Below are 25,615 nucleotides of genomic sequence, written 5' to 3' on the forward strand. Positions count from 1 at the left end.
GAAATTTAAAAAGTAGTCCTGTTTACAATAGCCACACATAAAATAAAATGCCTAGGAATTAACCACAGAAGTGAAAGATCTCTATGATGAAAACCATAGAATACTGATGAAAGAAATTGAAGAGCACACCAAAAAAATGGAAAAAAATTTTATGTTGTTCATGGATTGGAAGAATTAATATTGTTAAAATGTCCATACTACCCAAAGCAATCTATAGATTCAATGCAATTCCTATCAAAATACCAATGACATTCTTCACAGAAATAGAAAAAACAGTCCTCAAATTTATATGGAACTACAAAAGACCCAGAATAGCGAAAACTATCCTAAGCAGAAAGACGACGTTGCTTGACTTCAAATTATACTACAGAGCTATAGTAACCAAAACAGCATGGTACTGGCATAAAAGCAGATACATAGACCAGTGGAACAGAACAGAGAGCCCAGAAACAAATCCACATGCCTACAGTGAACTCATTTTTGACAGTGGCCAAGAACATATGCTGGGGAAAAGACAGTCTCTTCAATAAATGGTGCTGGGAAAACTGGATATCCATATGCAGAAGAATGAAACTAGACCCCTATCTGTCACCATATACAAAAATCAAATCAAAATGATTAAGGACTTAAATCTAAGACCTTAAACTATGAAACTGCTATAAGAAAACATTGGGGAAAATCTCCAGGACATCAGTCTGGGCAAAAATTTCTTGAGCAATACCTCACAAACACAGTCAACCAAAGCAAAAATGGATAAACGAGATCATATCAAGTTAAAAAGCTTCTACACAGCAAAGGATACAATGAATGAAGTGAAGAGACAACCCACAGAATGGAAAAAATATTTGCAAACTACCCCTCTGACAAGCAATTAATAACCAGAATATATAAGGAACCCAAACAACTCTATGGGAAAAAATCTAATAATCTGACCAAAAAATTGGCAAAAGAGTTGAATACACATTTCTCAAAAGAAGACATACAAATGACAAACAGGCATATGAAAAGGTGCTCAACATCAGTGATCATCAGAGAAATGCAAATCAAAACTACAATGAGGTATTTATCTCACTGCAGTTAAAATGGCTGATATTCAAAAGACAGGCAATAACAAATGCTGGCTAGGATGTGGAGAAAAGAGAACCCCCGTACACTGTTGGTGGGAATGTAAATTAGTACAACTACTATGGAGAACAGTTTGGAGGTTTCTCAAAAAAATTAAAAATTGAGCTACCATATTATCCAACAATCCCACTGCCAGGTATATACCCAACGAAAGGAAGTCAGTATATCAAAGAGGTATCTGCACTCCTATGTTTGTTGCAGCACTGTTTACAATAGCTAAGATTTGAAAGCAACCTAAGTGTCCATCAACAGATGAATGGATAAAGAAAATATGGTACATATACACAATGGAGTACTATTCAGCCATAAAAAAGAACAAGGTCTAGTCATTTGCGACAACATAGATGGACCTGGAGATCATTATGTTAAATGAAATAAGCCAGGTACAGAAAGACAAACATCACATACTCTCATTTATTTGTGAGATCTAAAAATCAAATCTGAACTCATGGACCTAGAGAGTAGAAGGATGGTTACCAGAGGCTGGGAAGGGTGGTGGAGGTTTGGGAGAGGTGAGGATGGTTAATGGGTCCACAAACATAGAAAAAATGAATAAGACTTTATAGCACAACAGGGTGACTTTAGTCAATAATACCTTAATTGTACATTTTAAAATAACTTAAAGAGTGTAATTGGATTGTTTGTAACTCAAAGGATAAATGCTTGAGGAGATGGATACCCCATTCTGCATAATGTGCTTATTTCACAGTGCATGCCTGTATCAAAACATCTCACATACCCCGTAAATATATGTACTATGTACCCACAAAAATTAAAATTTAAAAAATTATGTAATTGTCATTCCAGATATCTTCATATATACATTTTGATTAAAAAGATGGGTAGTTGAGTGCATTCACGAATATAATTTTCTAAAACTAGGTTCATATTACAGTGCTACCTTTAAAATATAAAAATTAATTTCACTGAAATTTTATAGAAGAGAGAAATGGAAGGAATTGCTTAAATTTAGATAAGTATTTTGTCACTTTAAGTGATATTATTTCTAAAATTATTTCTCTAAGATTATGAAAAAATGTGAAAAAATTAAGAGGTTACAATCTTTATTTAAGTTTGTGTTTTTATTTAAAGCAATATACTTTAATCTGGTTTGAAGAAGGTTACTATCTTCACTCTTCCTGGTGCCTCCCCCTCTCCATTTTCAGATTAGTCCATTTTATTGTTATGACATTATCAAGTATTATAACATTTAAATTCTATTTTGTCACTATAATTATTGCATTTGGTTAGTCTCAGTTCTGTATTTAAATGGATTCTAAGGTTATCATAACTCCTATATCATAGTTTCTCCATTTCTCAGTTCTTTATTTTTATTCATCTCTTAGCTGGCTGTATTTTACAATCAACAAGTTTTTAAAAATATGCTTTTTGGTTCCATGTTCTTTATGTTTGACATGTTTAGGAATCATGTCTATAGCTTTTATACTTGAAGGACAGCTTTGTCATGTATTCTATTCTTGAGTCATATTTTGTTTCCCTCAGGACAATATTTTCTGGCATTGAACATTGCTGTTGAGAAAGCTGAGACTAGCGTAATTCCGCTCCTCATTTACTTCCTGAAGAATTTTTTTTTTAATTTGAGGTTTAATACCTTAAACAGGATAACATTTCTTGATTTTGTTATTCTGTATTAGCTTTTTTTTTTTGAACACCGTATCCCTTTTTAAACTGAAGGTTCTGCTGTTCATTTTAGAAAATCTTAACATACTCTATTTAAAAATATTCTATTCAGCTAGGTTGTTCTATACCATTGTATTTTGGGAACATTTTCTTATGTTGGATTGCTTTTATTCTCCCTATTTATTGTCTTCTCTCATATTATTCTGAATTTTTAAATCTTTTTCTTACATATTGGCTGTTTTTATCTCAAGCATTTTTTCCATTTTGAGCTAAACTATTTTTGTAATGGTGTTATTTGGTCCTCATCTTTTTTCTTAGCTTGTCTAGTTCCTTCCTTTTATATAATTTGTTCATTAATTTCCTTTTTATGATACATTTTTATTGAATTGGATTTATAATAGACGAATTATTCAATAATATGTATTTGGATCACTAAACAAATATATTGAGAATAGCAAATGGATTTTAACCCTCCTGCTAACCCAGATCAATTGCTAGTGGCTTCCCGGCCCATTGTGTTAAGAAGGACTCTAGATTAGCATCAGGTCTCTACAGGGAGGGGTACACTTAGTGATGTGATGGCTGCCAAGTAAAAGCTATGAGGTGGTGATGGTGATGCTACCCTCTTATCTCAGAGGCACGTTTACATTTCATATAGTACATTACAGGTGACTAAAGGTCATGGTTGTGCATCAGAGAGGGTAAGATGATGATCAGGAGAAGCTTCAATATTACCATTTATTTATTGATTCAACAGTTAGTTATTTATTAGAATTTACAATGTCTCAAGCATGATATTACGTGCTAGGTTAAAGTGGTGGAAGATGTATATGTTCCCTGCTCAGCTAGAACTTACAGTCAAGTAAGGGAGATAGACATTAAATGAACAATCACAGAAATACTTAACTACATTTGCGATAAGGAATGTAAAGGGAAAGTGTAATCCCCCAATGGGTTCTTCCTGCTGGCTGCACAGACAAAATCAATCCACCAAGATTGTGGCATTGCAGTAGAGATAGTTTAATTGACCACTAGGCTGACCCATGTGGGAGAACTGGAGTTATCACTCAAATCAGCCTCAGCTGGTTAAGTTCTTAGTGCAAGCACTCATAGGGCATTTTCTTCTTTTAGATTATCTTTCAGATTGGGTTCTCTGTCTGATTTTTTTCCCCTTCTTATGTTGTGATTCTTTTTTGATTTTCTATGTTTACATAATCACTGTGCTTTTCCCCCTCGTATTGCTGGGACTGTATATGTGTAACCCTGATTTGATGTTCTGTTTTCTCTGATTTAATGTGAGTGAATATCCCTTCACTCTGCACTTAATCTGTGACTTGTTTATGTTCCCCAAAGAGCTATGGTATGGGAGCAGGCATTTTTATTATATCTGCTTTTAGTCAGGAGGTAAGGGAGAAAGTAGATAATTCAACTGTAATGATACAAGCCGTTGTTCTGAGTTTTTGTTAGAATGAACTTTATAACAGAACACTTCTAGTGGCAGTTTTATCTTTTTTCTATAGCAGGATTGTTTTGGGATTCAAATTGTCCCCAGTTCAACACAGTATGCAGAGTCTCTGTGTTGTCAGAAAAATAAGCTATAGTTGTTTACTTCCTCCATTTTACTCTTCTCTTATCAGCAGTTTCTCCCTCCAAGTCAGAGAGGCAAAAGATGAGGATACCGTTTGAGTTAGTCTCGCTCAGTCAGTCTCTCATTTGATATTGGTACCAGCACTTTAATACCTAATAAAATGAAAGCAAAAGAATGTACTTGAGAGAGATTCTTTCATCTGACTTCACCGTTTTTACCTAGAAATCCTTGATATCGTTCTTTACCACTATGGTATTTTAAAATAACTTATTTGTGAATATATTGCAGACATATTTTTTGCACCATACCATTGTATCTAGAAAACCTATAAAGATGCAACGTTATCTGTTTTCTCACAAAGTTTCTGCACATCCAGTGTTTGCTGAGATTATTACTGGTTTAGCAGTCAGATACTCAGAAAATAGAAAGTGAATCAAATTGAACTTCTCTTTTAAAAATAATGTATGACATGGAGCCATAAGCAAATTTGTAATAGCTGTGTTTTATCATGATTTGTATATTTTATGTAGCTACACTATTTGTTTTCTTAGGTATCTGTTATATGCATTTATTTTCTCACAGCCATCTAGTTGTATATATATTCTAATAACTTTAAAGATTTTATGGTGAACAATTATTTTATAGATGACTTTAAATTTATATACTAATTTTGTTATCTCTTAATGGTTTTGGTTATTGTAAGATTTTAGAGGGGTTGAAATTAAAAATATATAAGGTTTAGATATAAATAATTGGAATAAAATCATAATTTTATAAATAAAATAATTATTTTAAATTTTTAGATAATGAGAATTAATTGAATCATTGGAATTAGAATAAATTCTAATAAACTTAGTAATTTTATATAATAAATATACTTATAAAAGTGGAATTAAAAATTTGAATTCTAATTATTATAATAAAATATTATACAAATATAAATAAAATATTTATAAAATTAGAATTAAAGATTAGCATTTATCATACTTCAAAATCTTTCTCTGGAGTAATACATTCTATAGTTCTTAAAATTAGAAATAAATTTAAAAAGCAAAATTTATAGTGATTTTAGACATAAAGAATTAATTATAACAGAAATACTTAAATGTAAAATTCTCAGAGTAGACTTAACACTTGATTTATAATTCCATAACTTTACATATTTCTATTTTACATATTTTATACCTTTTAAAACAGATTTTTTTTTTTTTTACAAAAAAAAGAAAGAAAATCTTTACCATGCTGATAGTGATTGTTGAATGAATAAATTTATGGATATACTCTACCCTGCGATTTTCTCTCATACAAAGATCTGAATCTCTAACTTTCTTTAAAAATGTACATTTTTTTTTCAGGGGAAGTATTACAAATGGAAGATGATCTGGTGATTTCATTTCAGTTAATGCTATGTGTCCTTGACTATTTTATTAAACTCTCACCTCCCATGTTGCTCAAAGAACCATATAGTAAGTATTTAATTTATGCCCCTTTTACTTTCTCATTCAGCAGTTGCTTATTGAATGTCTAGTGGGTACCAAACATGGTTCTAAGGCTGACAGGATGATAAAAAATAAATCAGACATGGACTTTGCCCATAAGTAGTGTAAGTTATAGAAGGAAAGATAAGACATGGAAACAAATGATTAGAGTATATGGTAGAAAGTGGTTTGGGTCAAAATACAACAAATGGAGGTTTGGGAGACAAGAAAGTTTTTCCAGCTGTGGAAGACCAAAGAATACCATATAAAAGAAGTAGTATTTGAAATTAACATGGAAGAGTGGTTAGGATTGGGGAAAGGCATTCTCAGTAAAGTGTTGGGGGAGGGCATTCCCAGTGAAGAAAAGCAAGAAACAAGAAAAAGATATGAATGAAATTGCATGGGGAAGAGTGGCCTATTCTAAGGGAACAGCTTAACTAAGTTTTTATTACTATTGGATGTTGTAATAACTATGTATTTTTTTGTATATAAGCTATAACTCATACTATTTCAGTGGGTGATGAGTGATGAGATGGGAAGTATATTTAAATAAAAATAACTTGCTAATATAATTAGATAGCATTAAGGAAGTATGAGTAAGGTATATTCCTTTTAGCCTAGAATTGCTTCCTTTCATGGCTTCAAGAGTAGGATTTCAAAGTCACTTATTATATTATTATATACAGAAAAATGTAAACTTACTTAAGGTCAGACTAATTCCTTGCTTCTGAAATGATGAAAGTATTAATGCTAAAAATAATAGATAACATGGAAGTTTCAAAGTGTTGTTGAAATGGATGGAAGGATGAAGGCTCATTAAACTTTGTGAACAAGAATTTAGTGGAAAAATTAAGTATGGAGCAGAATTTTGAAGATGTGTTGAACATGGTTTGGCAGAGAAGGCAGAAACCTTCATTTAGCAGAAACCACATGCAAAGAAAGAAATAAAAAAAATTCTATATAGAAAACAAATATACTTCAAATTTTCTCCCAAATTTTATAAATTTCCTTTATATACCCTTTCCCCACTTTTTTCAATGTTATAACTTTAATAAGTTGATGTTGCAAGTTACTTTAGGTTGACAATCTTTGTTCTTTTGGATAATTCAAATGTACATGTGAATTCTCTAAGTGCTCTGTTAAAGAGCAATCAGCATGGGGTATTATTGAACTGACTGAATATGGTAACTCTTAGTTAATTTTTGTTGTAGAGAATTTCAAATGAATACAAAAATAGTAGTATAATAAGCCTCCATGTACTTATCATGTAACTTCAACAGATAATTTACAGTTAATCTGTAGCCCCATTGCCTGCTCAGTTCCCCCAGCTGTATTATTTTGAAGCACATCTTTGCATACCATTTCATCCTTATACATCTCAGTATATATCTCTAAAAAATACTTTTTAAAAAGCATAATTACAGTGCTCTTTGTTATCACACCTACAAATCAATAAATAGTGACTCCTTAATATTACTGAATATCTAGAAAGTGCTCAGATTTTCTTGTAAAAATAATTAAAAAATTTTTTTACAGTTTGAATGAGAATCTAAATAAGATTTATACTTTGTGTTTGGTTGACATGTTTTAAAAACTCTTTTAAAAGTTTCTCTTCCATCCTTTCTTTTTTTCCTTGTAATTTATTTTTTAAATAATCAGATTGTCTTGAGTTTTCCACAGTGTGGTTTTTGCTGATCATATTCTGTGGTATAGTTTAACATGTTCTTCTGTCCTCTCAATTTCTTGTAAGTTGTTGATTGGATCTAGAGGCAATACATACTTTTTATACTTAATCATCTGTAATTTTTTTTTTTTTTTTTTGAGGCAGAGTCTCACTCACTCTGTCGCCCAGGCCTGGAGTTCAGTGGCGCGATCTCAGCTCACTGCAAACTCTGCCTCCCGGGTTCAAGCAATTCTCCTGCTTCAGCCTCCCGAGTAGCTGGGACTATGGGCATGCACCACCACACCTGGCTAATTTTTGTATTTTTAGTAGAGACGGGGTTTCACCGTGTTGGCCAGGCTGGTCTTGAACTCCTGACCTCATGATCCACCTGCCTTGGCCTCCCAAAGTGCTAGGATTACAGGCGTGAGCCACCACACCCAGCCATCTGTAATATTTTTAATAGCTGAACCTGTATTTAGTTTGGATTGGGAATGCTGAAAATAATCCAGGAGATTTTTTTTTTAAATCACAGTTTATTATCATATTATTATATTTACTATAATATATTTTATACCTATCTTTTAAAGACATCATAATTTACTAAAACTTAAAATATTGTTTTTATGCTATGTCTAGAAATTGAATTCAGAAATATTTGCTAATTATTTTTAAGACTCTAGGACAGAAAACTTTTTTTTCCTCTTGCAGACTAAAATACGCTTAGATTTAGTTTGAAAGTTGGCTATTTCCATGCCTTCTCTTTGTATTTGTTTATGAGACTGTAGTTTACAGTTCTTTTTGGGAGCAGAGTAGAAGAGGGATGGCAAAAACTAATATTAGTACATAATTTGTAGTAGATATGGATGAAATTGTTATCCTTCTAATGAAACCTAATAAGTAAAAGTAGTAGAATGTTACCAAGATTATTTTTGACCTAAGTTATAGTTAGAATACTTCATTATTTTATATGATGGATGTACAATTGTTCTTATCTAATTTACCACTTTTACAGAAACAGCTGTTATACCCATTAATGGTTCACCTCGAACACCCAGGCGAGGTCAGAACAGGAGTGCACGGATAGCAAAACAACTAGAAAATGATACAAGAATTATTGAAGTTCTCTGTAAAGAACATGAATGTAATATAGATGAGGTAATTTAACTTCATGATTTCTTTAAAACAGTTAAAGTAGATTTAGATGTAAGTTCTCCCTAACAATATTTACTTCTTTTGTTATGAGCATGTTTTTTTTGTAATTAGTGCTAACTCTTTTGCAGTAGCAAAATATTTAGAAAAAATTAATTCGTTATATTTAGTTACTTTGATTTTAAAGAGAGTAGCTCCCTCACTCTGGAATCACTGAAAAGTATATAATCAAGACAATAGTTTTCAAATGTAGTTTTTTTTTTTTTTTATTCCTCTGAGGTTACTGATACCCCTAATGTTTTAAAATACCCTGCCAAGGCTGGGCATGGTGGCTCACACCTGTAATCCCAGCTCTTTGGGAGGCCGAAGTGGGAGGATTTCTTGAGGCCAGGAGGTCTAGACCAGCCTGAACAACATAGCGAGACTCTGTCTCTACAAAATACATATTTAAAAAAATGAACTGGGCATGGTGGCATGTGCCTGTAGTCCCAGCTACTTGGAAGACTGAGGCAAAAGGATTGCTTGAGCCCAGAAGTTTGAGGTTACAGTGAGACATGATTGCACCACTGCACTCCAGCCCGGGCGCCAGAGTGAGACTATGTCTCCAAAAACGAACAAACAAACCAAAAAAGCCCTGCTTAGAAAACTCTAGTGCTCTAGTGTTTTAGTTTAGTGATAAGTGATACCAACATTAAATTTCTGTTTGGCCTTCTATAATTACTCTCTTTCTAAATATTACAGCACATAATGACTGCTGGAGAATACATATGAATTCCCAGGAATTACTTGTCTTGTTCATAGAATGTGGATGTTAGAAGGAATCTTACAAATAATGTATTCAATCTCCTTTTTATAATGAGTAAACAAGCTTCCAGGGACTGATAGCTTATTATTTACAGCGTCTACATTAGACTTTGGGATATCTGGTACTATTGCTTCTTTCCTTTTTACCATACAGTTTTTCTCATAGTTTGTTTTATTGTCCACAATCACTAACACCAGATAGCAGTAAAAAATGTTACATCTTTGAAATTTCTCTGTTAACTTTGGGAAGGAGTGAGAGTGTGGTCCTAAAATCTAGTTTAAGAAGTATTAGAATGATTTATCAAGATATATCATAGTTTTTGCACTATGGCTTACTAATTTCAACAAATATACAGTTGACTCTTGAACAACAGGTTTGAATTGCATGGGTCCGTTTATACACAGATATATTTAATTACATATATTAGAAAAAATTTTGGAGATTTGCAATAATTTGAAAAAATTTGTAGCAAACCGTGTAGCCTACAAATACAGAAAAAATTAAGAAAAAGGCATGTCTTGAATGTACAAAATATATGTAGATACTAGTCTATTTTATCATTTACTATACCATAAAATACATACAAAACTGTAGCTGCAGATGCCTGCTGTTTCAGGCGGACGATTTTTGTTAACAGATGACATAAACTTACTGTAAATGTATTTTGTCTTCTTACAATTTTCCTAATATTTTCTTTTCTCTATCTTTATCATAAGAAGATGATATATTTAGTATGTATATATAGTACATATACAAAATATATGTGAATTCAATCTTTATGTTATTGGTTGGCTTCCAGTCAACAGTAGGCTGTTAGTTAAATTTTGGGTACTCAAAAGTAATCGATAGGTCTGTAGTCTCAGCTACTTGGGAGGCTGAGGTGGAAGGATGGCTTGAGCCCAAGCATTTGAAGCTGTAATGCATGTGATTGCACCTGTGAATAGCCACTACACTTCAGCCTAGGCAATATAGAGAGACCCCTTCTCTAAGAAAATAATAAAAAATAAAAAAGTTATACACAGATTTTTTACTGCATGGGGGATTGACACCTCTAACTTACCCTGCATTGTTCAAGAGTCAAGAGATTAGATTTTGTTTTAAATTTTAATGATCATGTTGTAACTTCATCTTTTTCAGGTGAAAAATGTTTATTTCAAAAATTTTATACCTTTTATGAATTCTCTTGGACTTGTAACATCTAATGGACTTCCAGAGGTAATCTGAAAGGAAATTTAATAAAATATTAATGTTTTGAGACTGTGGAGGGAGGATAATTGTCTAACTTTCTTAGATCAATTTACTGTGTATCACATTTTTTTTTTGCCCAAGAAGAATCTAGCCAAGTAGAATTGTGGTGAAACTAACTTTTGTATAGTAACAAAAAGCTTTTGAGTATATAATCAAATGTATTAGCATCATTTTGTGATTTATACTAGAAATCAATCTTTATTGAATTTTTTCCAAAATCAAAGTATAGACTTTTAAACTTCTAAATACCATTAAATAGCTAAATTTTAATAGCTAAATATAAACCATTAAATTTGCTTTGGTAAGCCTCATTAAGCGTAGGAACCATGATTAATGCCATCAACATTATTGGCATTACTACATTGTGGAACATCTCTTTTGAGGATTTTTAAGAACTGCTTAATTGAAAATACAAATGTATTTGTTGAAATGACTGTGACTATTGCAGAAGTGTTTTACCTTAGTGATATTCCATCCATCTACCTGTTTTGTTTCGCATTTTGCTACAAATGTCTTTCCAATGAGAACAGAATAACTGAGAGCTTTGCATGGTAAGACGAAATATGTGGAGAAAAGGATGCTGTGATAGATGATGAAGAACAAAACCAGTGTTTTAGAAGACATAGTATTAGTCACTATGACCAAAAGGCATGAAATAAAATAGCTAGACTGCTAGTTCTGTAACCTGAATTGATAGCTAGTTTTTGAATTAATTTATTAATTCAACAAATATTTTTTGAATGCTTAATATATGTCAGGCACGTGCTAGATACTATGGATACAGAGATTTCACTCTCAGTCACTATCCTTAAAGTGCTAGTGGGAGAGGCTGACAAAGAAATAGAGCATTACAGGAGTCTACAAGAGTGTGAAAAAAGTATTCACAGGGTTCTGTGATATCTCAAAGGAGAGCTACCTAATCCAAACTAGGGCTGATAGGTTTTGTGGAAAATAGTTTAGAGGTGATGTGATTTCAAATCTGAGTAAGCATTACAGATATAGCATTTCCAAGGGTTGGACATTGTAGATTCAAAGGTGCAGTGATGTATGATAGTATGGTCTGATCAGTGAACTCTAAGTAATTCATTAAGGTTGGGATACAGGGCAGAACAATTAAAATATGGTACTGAAGAGGCAAGAAGGGACCAAATGTTATATTAATGAGTCTTGTTACCACTTTTGGTACCAAAAACTAGGCTGTTCATAACTTTAAAATCTGTTGTAGCAATCTTTTTTTCTCCTTTAAAAGGATTATAGTTTTAATATAAATCTTAAGAGTAATTTTACTTTTTCTCCAATATTTCACATAATATAGCCAATCAATAGATGACTGGTAATTAGTGCCTCAACTAAGGTAGGACAGGAACAATGATTAAACATAAGCATGGATTACTGTTCTATCTAATACATTTATGAAGATTAATGAAAAGTTTGCATTTAATTGGATTTCTTCCTATCACTCCTTTTAAAATGCAATTTTACTTCTCTGAGGTTGGAATCACTTTGGCGTTAAAAGTCACAGTAGAAGGCATGCCAATAGTTTTCTCTTGGGCATTGGTTTTTAAAGTATAATTAAAAAATTATGGATCAGAACTGATGAAAGATTTACAAATTCTAGCAATTGAAAAAGTATCTAAGATTGGGAATAAATTGTGCAAGTGTGTTAATTGAACTGATAAATTGAGCTAATTGTCTTGCCCAAGATACTTAACTGAAGGGTACTGGAGTGAACCAAAGGGTTTAGAAAACATTGGTAGAATATGTAATCAAGAGGATTTGCAACAATGTTTGAAAAAATATTTTATATTGATAAGCATAAAAGATTAAAAGCAGGCTGGGCGCGGTGGCTCACGCCTGTAATTCTAGTACTTTGGGAGGCCGAGGCAGGTGGATCACCTGAGGTCAGGAGTTCAAGACCAGCTTGGCCAACATGGCGAAACCCCGTCTCTACTAAAAATACAAAAATTAGCCGGGCATGGTAGCAGGTACCTATAATCCCAGCTACTCGGGAGGCTGAGGCAGGAAAGTTGCTTGAACCCCGGGGGCAGAGGTGGCAGTGAGCCGAGATTGTGCCACTGCACTCCAGCCTGGGCGAAAGAGCGAAACTCCATCTCAAAAAAAAAAAAAAAAAAAAGATTAAAAGTAAAGCATATATGGGATGTTTGGAAAATCTTGGCAGTTAAACAGTTATTATAATACCTATTTTTATCTTAGGTACTGTTTTGTAGCATTGGCTATCTTTGTCTACATAAAATTCTAATAAATATTTTCTATGCACGAAATAGACCTAAAATCAAAGTTGAACAAATGTTGCAATTTTCTGTACCTCACTTTTAGATAGACCTTATTTATATTGCATGCGAACTCAGTGTATATTACAAAATTAAATGTATATTATACAAAAATTCTTTAATGAAATCTGTGCCTCTGTGTGCTGAGAGATGTAATGACATGTAAAGGATAATTGTCAGTGACTTTTTTCTTTCAAGGTTGAAAATCTTTCTAAACGATACGAAGAAATTTATCTTAAAAATAAAGATCTAGATGCAAGATTATTTTTGGATCATGATAAAACTCTTCAGACTGATTCTATAGACAGGTATTGCACATGGTATATTTGATTGATTTGCTTTAGATATAGGTTGATACTGATATAGGTAGATTATATAGTCTTTAGCTTAGTGACCTTTAGATATCATTTATAACAAATTACTTTCAAATGTCTTTATACAAAGAAAAGTTTAACAGTATTTTAAGCATATAACTTATCTACAAATATAGATTTAATGTGAATTGTGTGTCCTATAACAGTTACCTTTTTGCAGTTAACTGAATATAATTTTTTAAAATGTGCACCAAAAGATAATGGCTAAAGTAATTAGTTTCTTCAAATAGTGGTCTCTACCTTATTTCTATCCTTTCATATACTATTGCCTGCCTGGTTTATTTAAAAAAGTTTATACAAAAGTGTAGTCTCTGTTATTATCATGTAGAAACCTAAAATTGGAATGGTTGAGAGTGATTGTTAAAATTTTTGACTGATCATAAGTAAAGTTAATTTTGTGTCTTTAGCATGAACTCTTTTAATATGAAACTGAAAATATGCGTAATTTAGAAGTTAAACACAGTAAAATGTTTTAAATTTTATTTAAGTGGAAATAAAGTTTTTAGAAGGAATAATGCATTGAAAAACTTGAGTTTTAATGCTTTTTAATACTGAACAACTTGGTTATCAATACCACCAGGGAGAAAGCATCTGACTTTCACTTTTAAAAAAAGACTTAATGATTGGTATACCTCTTTGTCATAAACATAATGGAAAGAGACCCACAATTAAAAAGAGTAGTGAAAAATATTTTATTTAAGCAGCAGCTGGGTCATCTATTTTCTATCCTATCTATTATTGAGTTATCATTTTATATGATTTTATGAGACAACAGAAGCATTATACTGCTTTTTTGATGCATAAAGCACAAATTGTAAATTTTCAGTATGTGAATGACTTCACTTATTGTTATTTAGTTTTGAAACACAGAGAACACCACGAAAAAGTAACCTTGATGAAGAGGTGAATGTAATTCCTCCACACACTCCAGTTAGGTATGAATTTTCCTACTTTTAATTATATTATAATTTTGTTATTCATGGCTTTATAGTGTTTCAGATTTGTTCACGTTTCTTTATGTATTCATACATACATGTAAGAAATATATATTGAAGGCCAGGTGTGGTGGATCACACCTGTAATCCCAGCACTTTGGGAGGCCAAGGCGGGCAGATCACCTGAGGTTAGGAGTTTGAGACCGGCCTGGCCAACATGGTGAAACCCCGTCTCTACTAGAAATACAAAAATTAGCTGGGGGTGGTGGTGTGTGCCTGTAATCCCAGCTGCTCGGGAGGCTGAGGCAGGAGAATTGCTTGAACCCGGGAGGCGGAGGTTGCAGAGAGCTGAGATCGTGCCATTGCACTTCAGCCTGGGTGACAAGAGCGAAACTCCGTCTCAAAAAAAAAATGTGTATATATAATCTTTGTGTGCTGGGCATTTTACTGGTTGCTGAAGATATGGTTATTGGACCTAGTTTTGTCTGTTCTTAAAGAACATAACCTAAAATAGGAATGTGTTCCATTTCAGTAAATAAAAAAGAAAAAATTAAAGTATCACTATTTGATCTGCATGCAACCTTAAAGGATTAGAACTATTTTTTATGTCTTTTTCCTCACTCATTTCCCACATCAAAATCTGTTATCAAGGCTTGTTGAATAATCTACCTCCAAAATATTTCCTGAGTGCATCTACTTTTCTCCATTTCTGCTCTCACAACTCTTGTCCAAGACATTGTTCTCTTTCTCTTGGATTTTTTGCAGTAGCCTACTACCTGATCTTGCTCCTTCTGGTCTCATCATTGTTCCTGTCTCCTCACCATCAAAGATATTCTCCATAGAGCCCCCAGAATTTCTCCTAGAAATGTAAATCAGTTACATTCACCTTGCTGTTAAACCCACTGACTGCTTCCCATTGCAATTGGTATACAGTGCAAATTCCTTAACAATGCCTAAAAGATCTTATATGGTCTGGTTTCTGTTGCCTCTCCAACCTCATCTTGTTTTCTTTCTCACTCTGTGTTAGCCACACTTTGGCCTTCTCTGTTTCTTGGGCTTTCCAAGTTTTTTGAAAACCCTCGTACTTGATATTCCCTCTTCTTGAAATTTCCTCCTTTTCTTTCCATGGATTACCAACTGCTACTCTTCATTCAGCACAAATATTGCTTTTGAAAAGATATTTCTCTCTGAAGTATTTTATTATTTCTCATATCATCCTGTTCCATTCCTTTATAGCATGTATCCCAATTTATATTGATAGATTCATTTGTGTTTGCTTGCTTTTACTAATACCCAAAATAGCCTTAAAATTCCATATCACAGAGACCATAACCTTTTTGTTCACTGTCTAATAATTAGGGCCTGTTATAAAACTTGGTACATAGTAGGCAATCAGTAATATATTTCAAATGACTGTATAGATATGTAAATGGATACATTTTCATATAAGTATAGTATATACTTTGGACAAGATAATGAGATGACACAGAAGGGACTATAAAGCAATGTCTGAACTGAATTTTGAAACATGCAAAGGCCTGTGTCACAGGATAAAGATTTTAGGGAGTGGGAACAGCATGTTCAAAGGGCTGGAATTGTGAAACATGTAAGTGGAGAAAACCCTGCTGTCACACCACCGACAACAATCAACACAGAAGACTTTTGTGACCAAATGTGGGAAAGTTTTCCTCACCAAGAAACAAGCAATCAGTTCTGCAGCAGTCACCAGCTGGGTGTCCTCTAATTTACTTCTGACACTGCTTACCTGGAGATAGTGTCAGATCCCACAGGTTGAGGGCTCAGTCCCCAAAACTGGCCCCAACTTCAGATGCCAGTTGCAAGTCTGGGTTTTTGGATCTTCTGACCAAAGGGCTTCAAGTTGGGGTTCCCATGACACCTCTTAGGTTCGATTAATTTGCTAGAGTAGTTCACAAAACTCAAGGAAACACTTCTGTTTACTGGTTTATTATAGATGATATTACAAAGGATGCAGATGTAAAGATGCATAGGATGAGGTATGGGGGATGGGATGGGAAGCTTCTATGCCCTCCCTGGCCAGACAGCTGTCCAGGAGCCTCCACATGTTCAGCTATCCGGAAGTTCTCTGAACCCTGCCCTTTTGGGTTTTTATGGAGGCCTCATTGCATAGGCATGACAGATTAGATCATTGGCTATTGATTATCAACCTAACCTTCAGCTTCCCTCCCCTTCCTAGAGGTTGGGGGCTGGGGCTGAAGGTTCCAACCCTCTAACTCTGCCTCGGGCTTTCTAGTGACCAGCCCCCATCCAGATGCTTCCTAGGGGCTGCCAGCCATGTCAATTCATTAGCACACAAAAGGACATCACTGGAGTTTCTAAGTATTTTACGAGTTGTATGTCAGGATATGGGGTCAAAGACCAAACATCTATTTCACAATATCACACAACACAATGTGTCTGGGGAACTATTAGCAGCTCTGTATTGATTGACTATAAAATGAGAGTAGGAAGTCACAGGAGAGGAGAGTGGGTACTAGATATGAAGGGCCTTATATGCCATACTCACAAATTTGGAGTGTAGCATGTGCATGATATAGCCTGTGCTATAAATGGATGTTAAGCAGGGGTAAGGATAAAATCAGACATAATTTTTGCAAGTTCACATGGTAATAGTCAGTGGGGGGATAGACTGAGGAGAATAAGAAAAAGTGAGAAATAGACCTGTCAGTCTGTCTCAGTGGTTCTTAACCATGTGTGCAAATTAGAATAACCTGAGGAATTTTGTTTTGTTTTTTCTTTTTAAAAATTTTGTGTCCCATTCCACTGAGGAATATGCCTAGGCCTTACTACCACAGACATAGTGTATAAAAATCTCTGGGCTTGTCTGTTGTAGCAGTTTACTTGAGAGTTTTTAAAGATCTGAACCAACGATAGTGGTGGGAATGAAGGAACAATAACAGATTTGATAAATATTTGATGAATTCATACTTAGAATGTTGTTCTTGAGGCATTTCTGAAGAAGATATCTAGTAAGCAGTAGGATAGCCTTCTATAGATTTGGGAATCATCAGGGGAGTTAAACCCATAAAAAAAAATGAGATTGCTTGAAGGGAGGGTGCATAATGGCAAGAGTGGGTGGCTAAGGGCTGAAGCCTAAAGGATGCTAGCATTAAGGACTAGACAGAAATTGTTAGGTTCTAGAGCAGGGGTCCCCAATTCCCGGGCCAGAGACTGGTCTGTGTCCCATTACGAACTGGGTGATACAGCAGGAGGTGAGTGGTAGACAGGCAAGTGAGCATTACTGCCTGAGATCTACCTCCTGTCAGATCAGCAGTGGAATTAGATTCTCATAGGTGCATGAACCTTATTGTGAACTGCGCATGTGAGGGATCTAGATTGTATGCTCCTTATGAGAATTTAATGGCTGATGATTTGAGGTAGAACAGTTCAAAACCATTCCCCCTACTCTCCATGGTCCATGGAAAAATTGTCTTCCATGAAACCAGTCCCTGTTGCCAAAAAGGTTGGGGACTGCTGTTCTAGAGAATGGGAAAGTATGATTGGGGAGTGCAGAGATTGAAGCGAAGAAAGCTGAGGGAGGGAGGGAGTTTCATTAAGAGCAAGTATTTCTCTAACAGTGTCAAATGCTTCAAGGAAGGTCAAGTATTAGAACAAATGAGAAAAGTCTTTTGTTTTTATCAGTTGGTCATTTGTGGCTTTAATCACTGTAGCTTAAATATGATTAGTGGACACAGAAGCATATAGAAGCTGTGTTGCAATATATTTGAAAGACGAGGCTGGGTGTGGTGGCTCACGCCTGTAATCCCACTTTGGGAGGCCAAGGTGGGCGGATCACCTGAGGACAGGAGTTCGAAACCAGCCTGGGCAACATGGCAAAACCCCGTCTCTACTAAAAATACAAAAATTAGCCCAGCTGGGCACCTGTAATCCCAGATAATCAGGAGGCTGAGGCAGGAGAATCACTTGAACCCGGGAAGTGGAGGTTGCAGTGAGCCAAGATTGCGCCACTGCACTCCAGCCTGGGCGACAGAGCAAGGCTCCTTCTCAAAAAAAAAAAAGAAAAAGAAAAGAAAGATGAGGAAGTGTAAATACTGGTTTAGACATGCTTAGCTGAGAACACTGAGCATATTTTACTAAATAATAGTTGAGGATCTTTTCAGCCCTAAACATTCTACAGTTCTTTGCATAATTAAAGTGTCCCAAATGTTCAGCTACTCCAAAATTGTAACATTGATATTTACCATATACTGCCCCCTTCATAATACACACACATAAAATTATAGAATTAACAAGATCTTAAGAGATTGACCTAATTTTATGCTGTGAAAGTGGTGATTTTTAAATGTATCCAGGATCTTAGTATCCTTTCTTCTTGAAGGTCTCTGTAAAGAAAAATCATCTGATTCTTTACTTGAGTTGCTAAGTATCTTATTGTCTTTAATTTGAAAATGTTTAATATTTGGTTGTAATAATGTTTTCTTAAAACAATACCATTTTGTTGCCAGTTTATATAGTTTCTCCTAAAAATAATGCCACTATTTTATTGATATGTAGTTTTATTAGTAAATAAGTATATCTGTTCTATAACTATAAACTTATTGATTGTGAATACATATTTTCTTAAAGATTTAAGTAAAATGTAATTTCTTATAAACCACAGTCTTATTTGAGGGAATGTAGAGACAAGTGGGAGGCAGTGTATTTGAAGATACATTTAACTTGGGAGATGGAAAACATTTCATTTTTTCTTTTTTTCTCCCTTCATTGCTTAACACATTTTCCTATTTTTATCCCCTCTAGGACTGTTATGAACACTATCCAACAATTAATGATGATTTTAAATTCAGCAAGTGATCAACCTTCAGAAAATCTGATTTCCTATTTTAACGTAAGCCATATATGAAACATTATTTATTGTAATATCTTGGCAAAGAAACTTGAAATTAAAAGTTAAAGTACTGAGTTCTTTTTAAAATACTAATCTCCTATCTAACATGTAGTTATCCATAATCTTTTCTTGCTTTTTTAATCTTACAAATTATATATTATTAGTAGTATTGTTTTATTTATACAGTGTTATTTAAAACATTTTTATGTTTACCTATTTGCCTTGCTCACCATTCTTCCTTGCAACTTATGCCTCACTTCTGAGATAATTTTTTTCTTCTTCAGATATATCCTTTGATAATTACTTTAGTGGTATTAATTTGGGATGAACTTTTTGAGGTTTTATTTTGTTTTTTGATCTGAAATTTTCTTTACCCTTATTTTTTTGTGAGATAGCTTTGCTCGATCTTCAATTCCAGGTTGACATTTACTTTTTAGACTCTTATAAGTTTGAAGATAATACATTACCTGGATCCCATTTTTGCTAATTAAGAAGTCTTATGCCACTCAATCTAACTGTTGTTCCTTTGTAGTTAATCTGTCTTTTTCTCTCTGGCTACTTTTAAGATCTTTTCTTTGAATGTAGTATTAGATAGGACTTAACATTCCCCATACCCCTACAATCTTTTTCATCCAATATTTAACCCATTTTTATTTACAATTCTTACCTGGCCCTGTTAGCATTATAGTTTGCAACTCCTGATAGACAATAAGTTTAATATCTGAAGGCATCTGATACCCTCTCTCCCCTAAAGACAAGGAGAAAGAAAGAGAGAGAATGAAACTATCATCTATATTGCTTGCTTGCTCCTTCACTCCTTACTTAAACTCAGATGAGGATTGGGACCCACTGAAATGCTCATCCACTAAAATTGGACATAGGGTCAGGAGACTTATTAAAATTTGGCTTATTTCAGCAACTGTGCTTTTTGTACTTGTTAACAATTCATTCATTGCCATAACCTGCCTGTGATTTTGTCATAATCTGTTGTCATCTCTTGCTATGTTCCCCCAGGAATTAGCAAAGTAATTTCTGTCATCATGTTCGTAATTGTTTTGGCTCAGAATTGATTTTGTTTGTCCAATATGCATAAAGTCGCTTTTGTTTATGAGTTATCTATAGCACAAGAATATATGCCAAAACATATGTACCCCAATTACCTAAACCTTTTAGCAAGGGCTAATGAAAGAATTTAAAAGAATGATAAGCCCTTTCTTCTCATATCATTTTGAATACTTCCTCCAATATTTGGAGTATGTAGGAGTTCTTTTTTATTTAAAAAATTCTGCCTCAAAGACTTTTTTTTAAACTTGGAAACTATATGATCTTTTTTTATGTTTTTATACAGTTTTTCAACCCTCGCTCTCTTCCTTCCCTCCTCCCTCTAGTAGTCTCCAGTGTCTATTGCTGCCATCTTTATGTCCATGAGTACCTGATATTTAGCTCCCACTCATTAGTGAGAACATGCAGTATTTGGTTTTCTTTTTCTGTATTAATTTGTTTAGGATAATGACCTCCAGCTACATCCATGTGGCTGCAAAGGGCATAATTTCATTCTTTTTTTATGACTGTATAGTACTCCATAGTGTATAAGTACCACATTTTCTTTATCCAATCCACCACTGAAGGGCACCTAGGTTGATTCCATGTCTTTGCTATTGTGAATAGCATACCAGTGAACATATGAGTGCATGTGAAAGACATTTTCTAGAGCTCAATTTAAAGCTTAACTTTTAATGAAGCTTAAAAGCTTAATTATGTAGATGATAAGTTGCATATGTCAAAGTGAACATGTCTTGAAGGTCATTATGTTTTTCCTTCATTTTACTTCCTTATTAGTTCAAATTTCTTCATTTTTAAAATTAATGCCACCTTCCCTCCATGTAAAATCTTAGAAGCTATGAACATTTTAATGGACATTTTGGCAACAATTCTTTTATGACAGGAAATGCTTGTTTGTTATATGTTTCTAAGTTTGTGTGCTGTTTTTTTTTTTTAGGAATATAGAATTGCTGATATTCTAGAATGTGAAAATGTCGCCAGACAATGCACATTACAATGAAAATTATAATCTTATTTTTATTTATATATATATATATTTTTGAGACAGAGTTTCACTCTGTTGCCTAGGCTGGAGTGAAATGGCATGATAATTGGCTCACTACAACCTCCATCTCCTGGGTTCAAGCGATTCTTGTGACTCAGCCTCCCAAGTAGCTGGGATTGCAGAAGCCTGCTACCATGTCCAGCTAATTATTGTAATTTTTGTGGAGATGGTGTTTCACAATGTTTCCCAGGCTGGTCTCAAACTCCAGACCTCAGGTGATCTGCTCACTTCAGTTTTCCAAAGTGCCGGGATTACAGTCATGAGCCACTGTGCCTGGCCATAATCTTAATTTTAGAAACTTTATTTTTGAATGTATATATTGAATGTGTTTTATGTATAAAGGATAAAAAATAGAATAAATCTTTGTAGCTGATGAGAATCATGCTGTGATTACTTTTTATATATCATAATATGAATTATATAATATTATATAATATGCATTTTAATACATCATCTTGTGATGTGTTTTAATTATTAAAGTTGAATAGCCCCACTCCAAATGATACATGTATTGGAACTTCTTTTGCAACAATTTCCCTATCTTGTATTTCTGAAAATGTAATCAAATGATTTAGCTAATTCATAACTCTTTCAAAGCACGTTTTAAAATTAGGAAATGGTCCGGGCATGGTGGCTCACACCTGTAATCCCAGCACTTTGGGAGGCCAAGGTGGTTGGATCACCTGAAATCAGGAGTTCGAGACCAGGCTGGTCAACATGGCAAAACCCCATCTCTACTAAAGAGACAAAAATTAGTGAGGCGTGGTGCGCTTGCCTATAATCCCAGCTACTTGGGATGCTGAGGCAGGAGAATCACTTGAACTTGGGAGGCGGAGGTTGCAGTAAGCCGAGATTGCGCCACTGCACTCCAGCCTGGGCGACAGAGTGACACTTCATCTCAAAAAAAAAAAAAAAAAAAAATTAGTAAATGATACCAAGCTCAAGCCTTGGTTTTATTTCATTTGCTTTTTCGGAAGCAACATACATCCCAATATAACTCTTAATTGAAGGTATTTTATGAGAATGTATGAGGCTCTTTCTGATGGATGGAAAGCTTAACAAATTTGCTCTTCTCTAGCCTAGTGGCAGAAAATTTAGATAATAGGGTTTTTTAGTTGTACTGTAGTATTTTTTGCTCATTAACATCCAGTGAAATGATATTGTCTGCTTATGTTCAGTAGTTGTGGTTACCTAGTTATTATGGAAGTGTTTCCACATTTTTATGAACAATTTAAAAAGTCATATATTATGGAGCAGAAAATATTAATTCTGATTACACAGTATCCTCGACATTGATTTCTGTTTTTACCTCCTAAAGAACTGCACAGTGAATCCAAAAGAAAGTATACTGAAAAGAGTGAAGGATATAGGATACATCTTTAAAGAGAAATTTGCTAAAGCTGTGGGACAGGGTTGTGTCGAAATTGGATCACAGGTAACTTGAATTCATTGTAATTCGTGGTACTATAGAGTAATAATATTAAAAGCAGCATCTTTCCAGTTCGTATAAATACTCTAACAGTATTTGTCTAGTAGTATAAAATACTGTCAGATACTATATCCCTGCTGCCTGTGTATGCTGCTATTTATGGGTAACTTTATGGAAAACTACCTCCCACCCCATTATAAAAACTATGTAATAAAGGAACACATAGCCATTGTAGAAATTTTGGAAAATACAACTAAGAAAAAAATTGAAATCTTTGATATTAAATTTTTGATTTTGCTTTGACTTCTACATGTATGACTGTTCATGTATGCATATCCTAATGTGAATGGGACTATACATGCCATTTGTCAGTGATATTATTGAGTGATATTATTTCAGGAAATCTAAAGCTAATATAATAGGTAAGAGTATGGGCCATGGAGTGACAGCCCTGGGTTTATATTTGGTTCTACCATTGTTGATCTTGGACATGTCATTTAACTTCTCTGAGATTCAGGTTCTATATTTGCTCTGCTTTGTTGTGTGGCATTAATGAGGATAATATACAAAAATATATTGGAAAACTGGAGTCCACTGTACACATTTATTTCAGTGTAGTGAGGTTATATTTTGATGCCATCAGTGTTTTAAACATTGATATTTAATGGTTCTTTTTGATTCTACAGCCATGCACCACTTAACAGGGATATGTTCTGACAAATGCATCATTAGGCAATTTTGTTGTGTGAACCTGGTAGAGTGTGTCTGTACAAACCTAGATGGTATAGCCGATTGTACATCTAAGCTGTATGATATAGCCTATTCATTCCTAGGCTACAGGCCTCTACAGCATGTGTACTGAATACTGTAGGTAATGGTAACATAATGTGTTACCATTTGTGTATCTAAATATATCCAAACATAGAAAAGGTAAAGATATAGTACAAAAGATAAAAAATGGAACATTTGCACAGAGCACTTACTATGAAAGGAGCTTACAGGATTGAAAGTTGCTCTGAATGAGTCAGTGAGTCGAGTGGCAAGTGAATGTGAAGGCCTACAATATTACCTATGACATGACTGTACACTATCGTAGACTTTATAAATACTACACTTAGGCTAAACTAATTTCATAAACATTTTTTCTTTCTTCAGTAGTAAATTAACCATAGCTCACTGTAACTTTTTTACTTTATAAATCTTCAGTTTGTAAGAAACTTTTGACTCTTATAACACTTAGCTTAAAACACAAACACCTTATACAGCTGTACAAAAATATTTTCTTTCTTTATAATCCTTATTCTGTACACTTTTTTCTATTTAAAAATTTTTTCAATTTCATAAAGATTTTTGCCAAAAACAAAGGCAAACACACACATTAGCCTAGGCCTACACAGGATCAGGATTAACAATACCACTGTCTTCTGCCTCCAAATTCTGTCCCAAGTCTTCAGGGACAATAAAATGCATAGAGCTGTCAACTCCTATGATGATGATGCTATCTTCTGGAATATCTCCTGAAGGAGCTGCCTGAGGGTGTTTTACATTTAACTTTTTTTTTTTTTTACAAGTAGAAGGAGGATGCTCTAAACTAATAAAAAGTATAGTATAATAAATACATAAACCAGTAACATGTTCATTATTAAGTATTATGTACTGTACATAATTGTATGTACTATACTTTTATATGACTGGCAGTGCAATAGGTTTATTTACATCAGCATCATCACAAAGATGTGAGTAATGTAATGCATTGCACTACATTACACTAAACAATAGGAATTTTTCAGCTCCATTATAATCTTATGGGACTACTGTTAGATATGCAGTCAGTTATTGACCAAAAACGTTGTTATGCGGTGCATGATTATATATGAGATTTTTGCTCTTAGTTTGGAAGGAAATAATATGGTGTGTGTTTATATTTCTAAAATTTGGTTATTCTTTCAAATAATGGGAACTAGTTATTTGGCTAAAACTTCTTGCTCATAAGGTCAGTTTGATCTGATTTTTGCCTGTGTCAGTTTTACTAAATTTATGGACAAAGACTGTCCTCTTAATCCTGGACAGCTATCTTGAAAATACATGTCCTAGGTCATGAGAAATGTTATATAAGGTACATAAAGTGCTTAAAATAGTACTGGGCACATAACCTATCTTTAGTATGAATGATATAAACTGAAATGGAGTTAAGGAAATCCAGGTACTGGACCTACCCTCTTGTTAATTTACTTGGGAATGTTAATCACCACTTAATACTTAAGTTGTGAGTTTTAGACAAGCTAGCTTTTGTGTTGTCTTGGCGGCCATATTTGTAAGAAGGGTGAGAAGTATGTTTTAAGAAAAGGCTTTTTAAAAAATTTTAGTAATTGTCAGCTGGGTATAGTGGTACATGCCTATAATCCCAGCCTCTTGGGAGGCCAAAGCAGGAGGATCTCTTGAGCCCAGGAGTGTGAAGGCCAGCCTGGGCAAAACAGTGAGACTCCATCTCAAAAAAAAAAAAAATTTCATAATTGTGATTTTCTAAAATAGCAGGCTCTTATTTTTCTTTTTGTTTGTTTGTAGCGATACAAACTTGGAGTTCGCTTGTATTACCGAGTAATGGAATCCATGCTTAAATCAGTAAGTTAAAAACAATATAAAAAAATTTCAGCCGGGCGCGGTGGCTCACGCCTGCAATCCCAGCACTTTGGGAGGCCGAGGTGGGCAGATCAGGAGGTCAAGGCATCAAGATCATCCTGGCCAAAATGGTGAAACCCTGTCTCTACTAAAAGTACAAAAATTAGCTGGGCGTGGTGGTGTAGACCTGTAGTCCCAGCTACTTGGCAGGCTGAGGCAGGAGAATCCCTTGAACCAGGGAGGTGGAGGTTGCAGTGAGCCAAGATTGTGCCATT

At 34.2% G+C, this 25,615-nt stretch overlaps 1 protein-coding gene and 1 long non-coding RNA gene across 4 annotated transcripts in view; one reads left to right on the forward strand and one right to left on the reverse strand.

Moving 5' to 3' along the window:
- The window catches only part of RB1 (RB transcriptional corepressor 1), a 178,140-nt gene that overhangs the window by 50,557 nt on the left and 101,968 nt on the right, over positions 1–25,615 (forward strand). For all 3 annotated transcript variants that reach the window (NM_001407165.1, NM_000321.3, NM_001407166.1), the window contains exons 7-14: positions 5,710–5,820; positions 8,508–8,650; positions 10,587–10,664; positions 13,187–13,296; positions 14,220–14,297; positions 19,098–19,185; positions 22,611–22,727; positions 25,287–25,343. In NM_001407165.1, the coding sequence (NP_001394094.1) occupies positions 5,710–5,820; positions 8,508–8,650; positions 10,587–10,664; positions 13,187–13,296; positions 14,220–14,297; positions 19,098–19,185; positions 22,611–22,727; positions 25,287–25,343 (782 nt within the window). The remainder of the gene's footprint in view (positions 1–5,709; positions 5,821–8,507; positions 8,651–10,586; positions 10,665–13,186; positions 13,297–14,219; positions 14,298–19,097; positions 19,186–22,610; positions 22,728–25,286; positions 25,344–25,615) is intronic.
- On the reverse strand, positions 8,881–25,567 carry LOC112268118 (uncharacterized). The gene is made up of 3 exons (XR_002957522.2): positions 25,528–25,567; positions 19,853–19,933; positions 8,881–10,669 (listed from the first exon to the last, which is right to left on the reverse strand). It is a non-coding gene; the product is annotated as an uncharacterized LOC112268118 (long non-coding RNA).

This window comes from Homo sapiens, chromosome 13, assembly GCF_000001405.40.
Source record: "Homo sapiens chromosome 13, GRCh38.p14 Primary Assembly".
Classification (NCBI taxonomy): domain Eukaryota; kingdom Metazoa; phylum Chordata; class Mammalia; order Primates; family Hominidae; genus Homo; species Homo sapiens.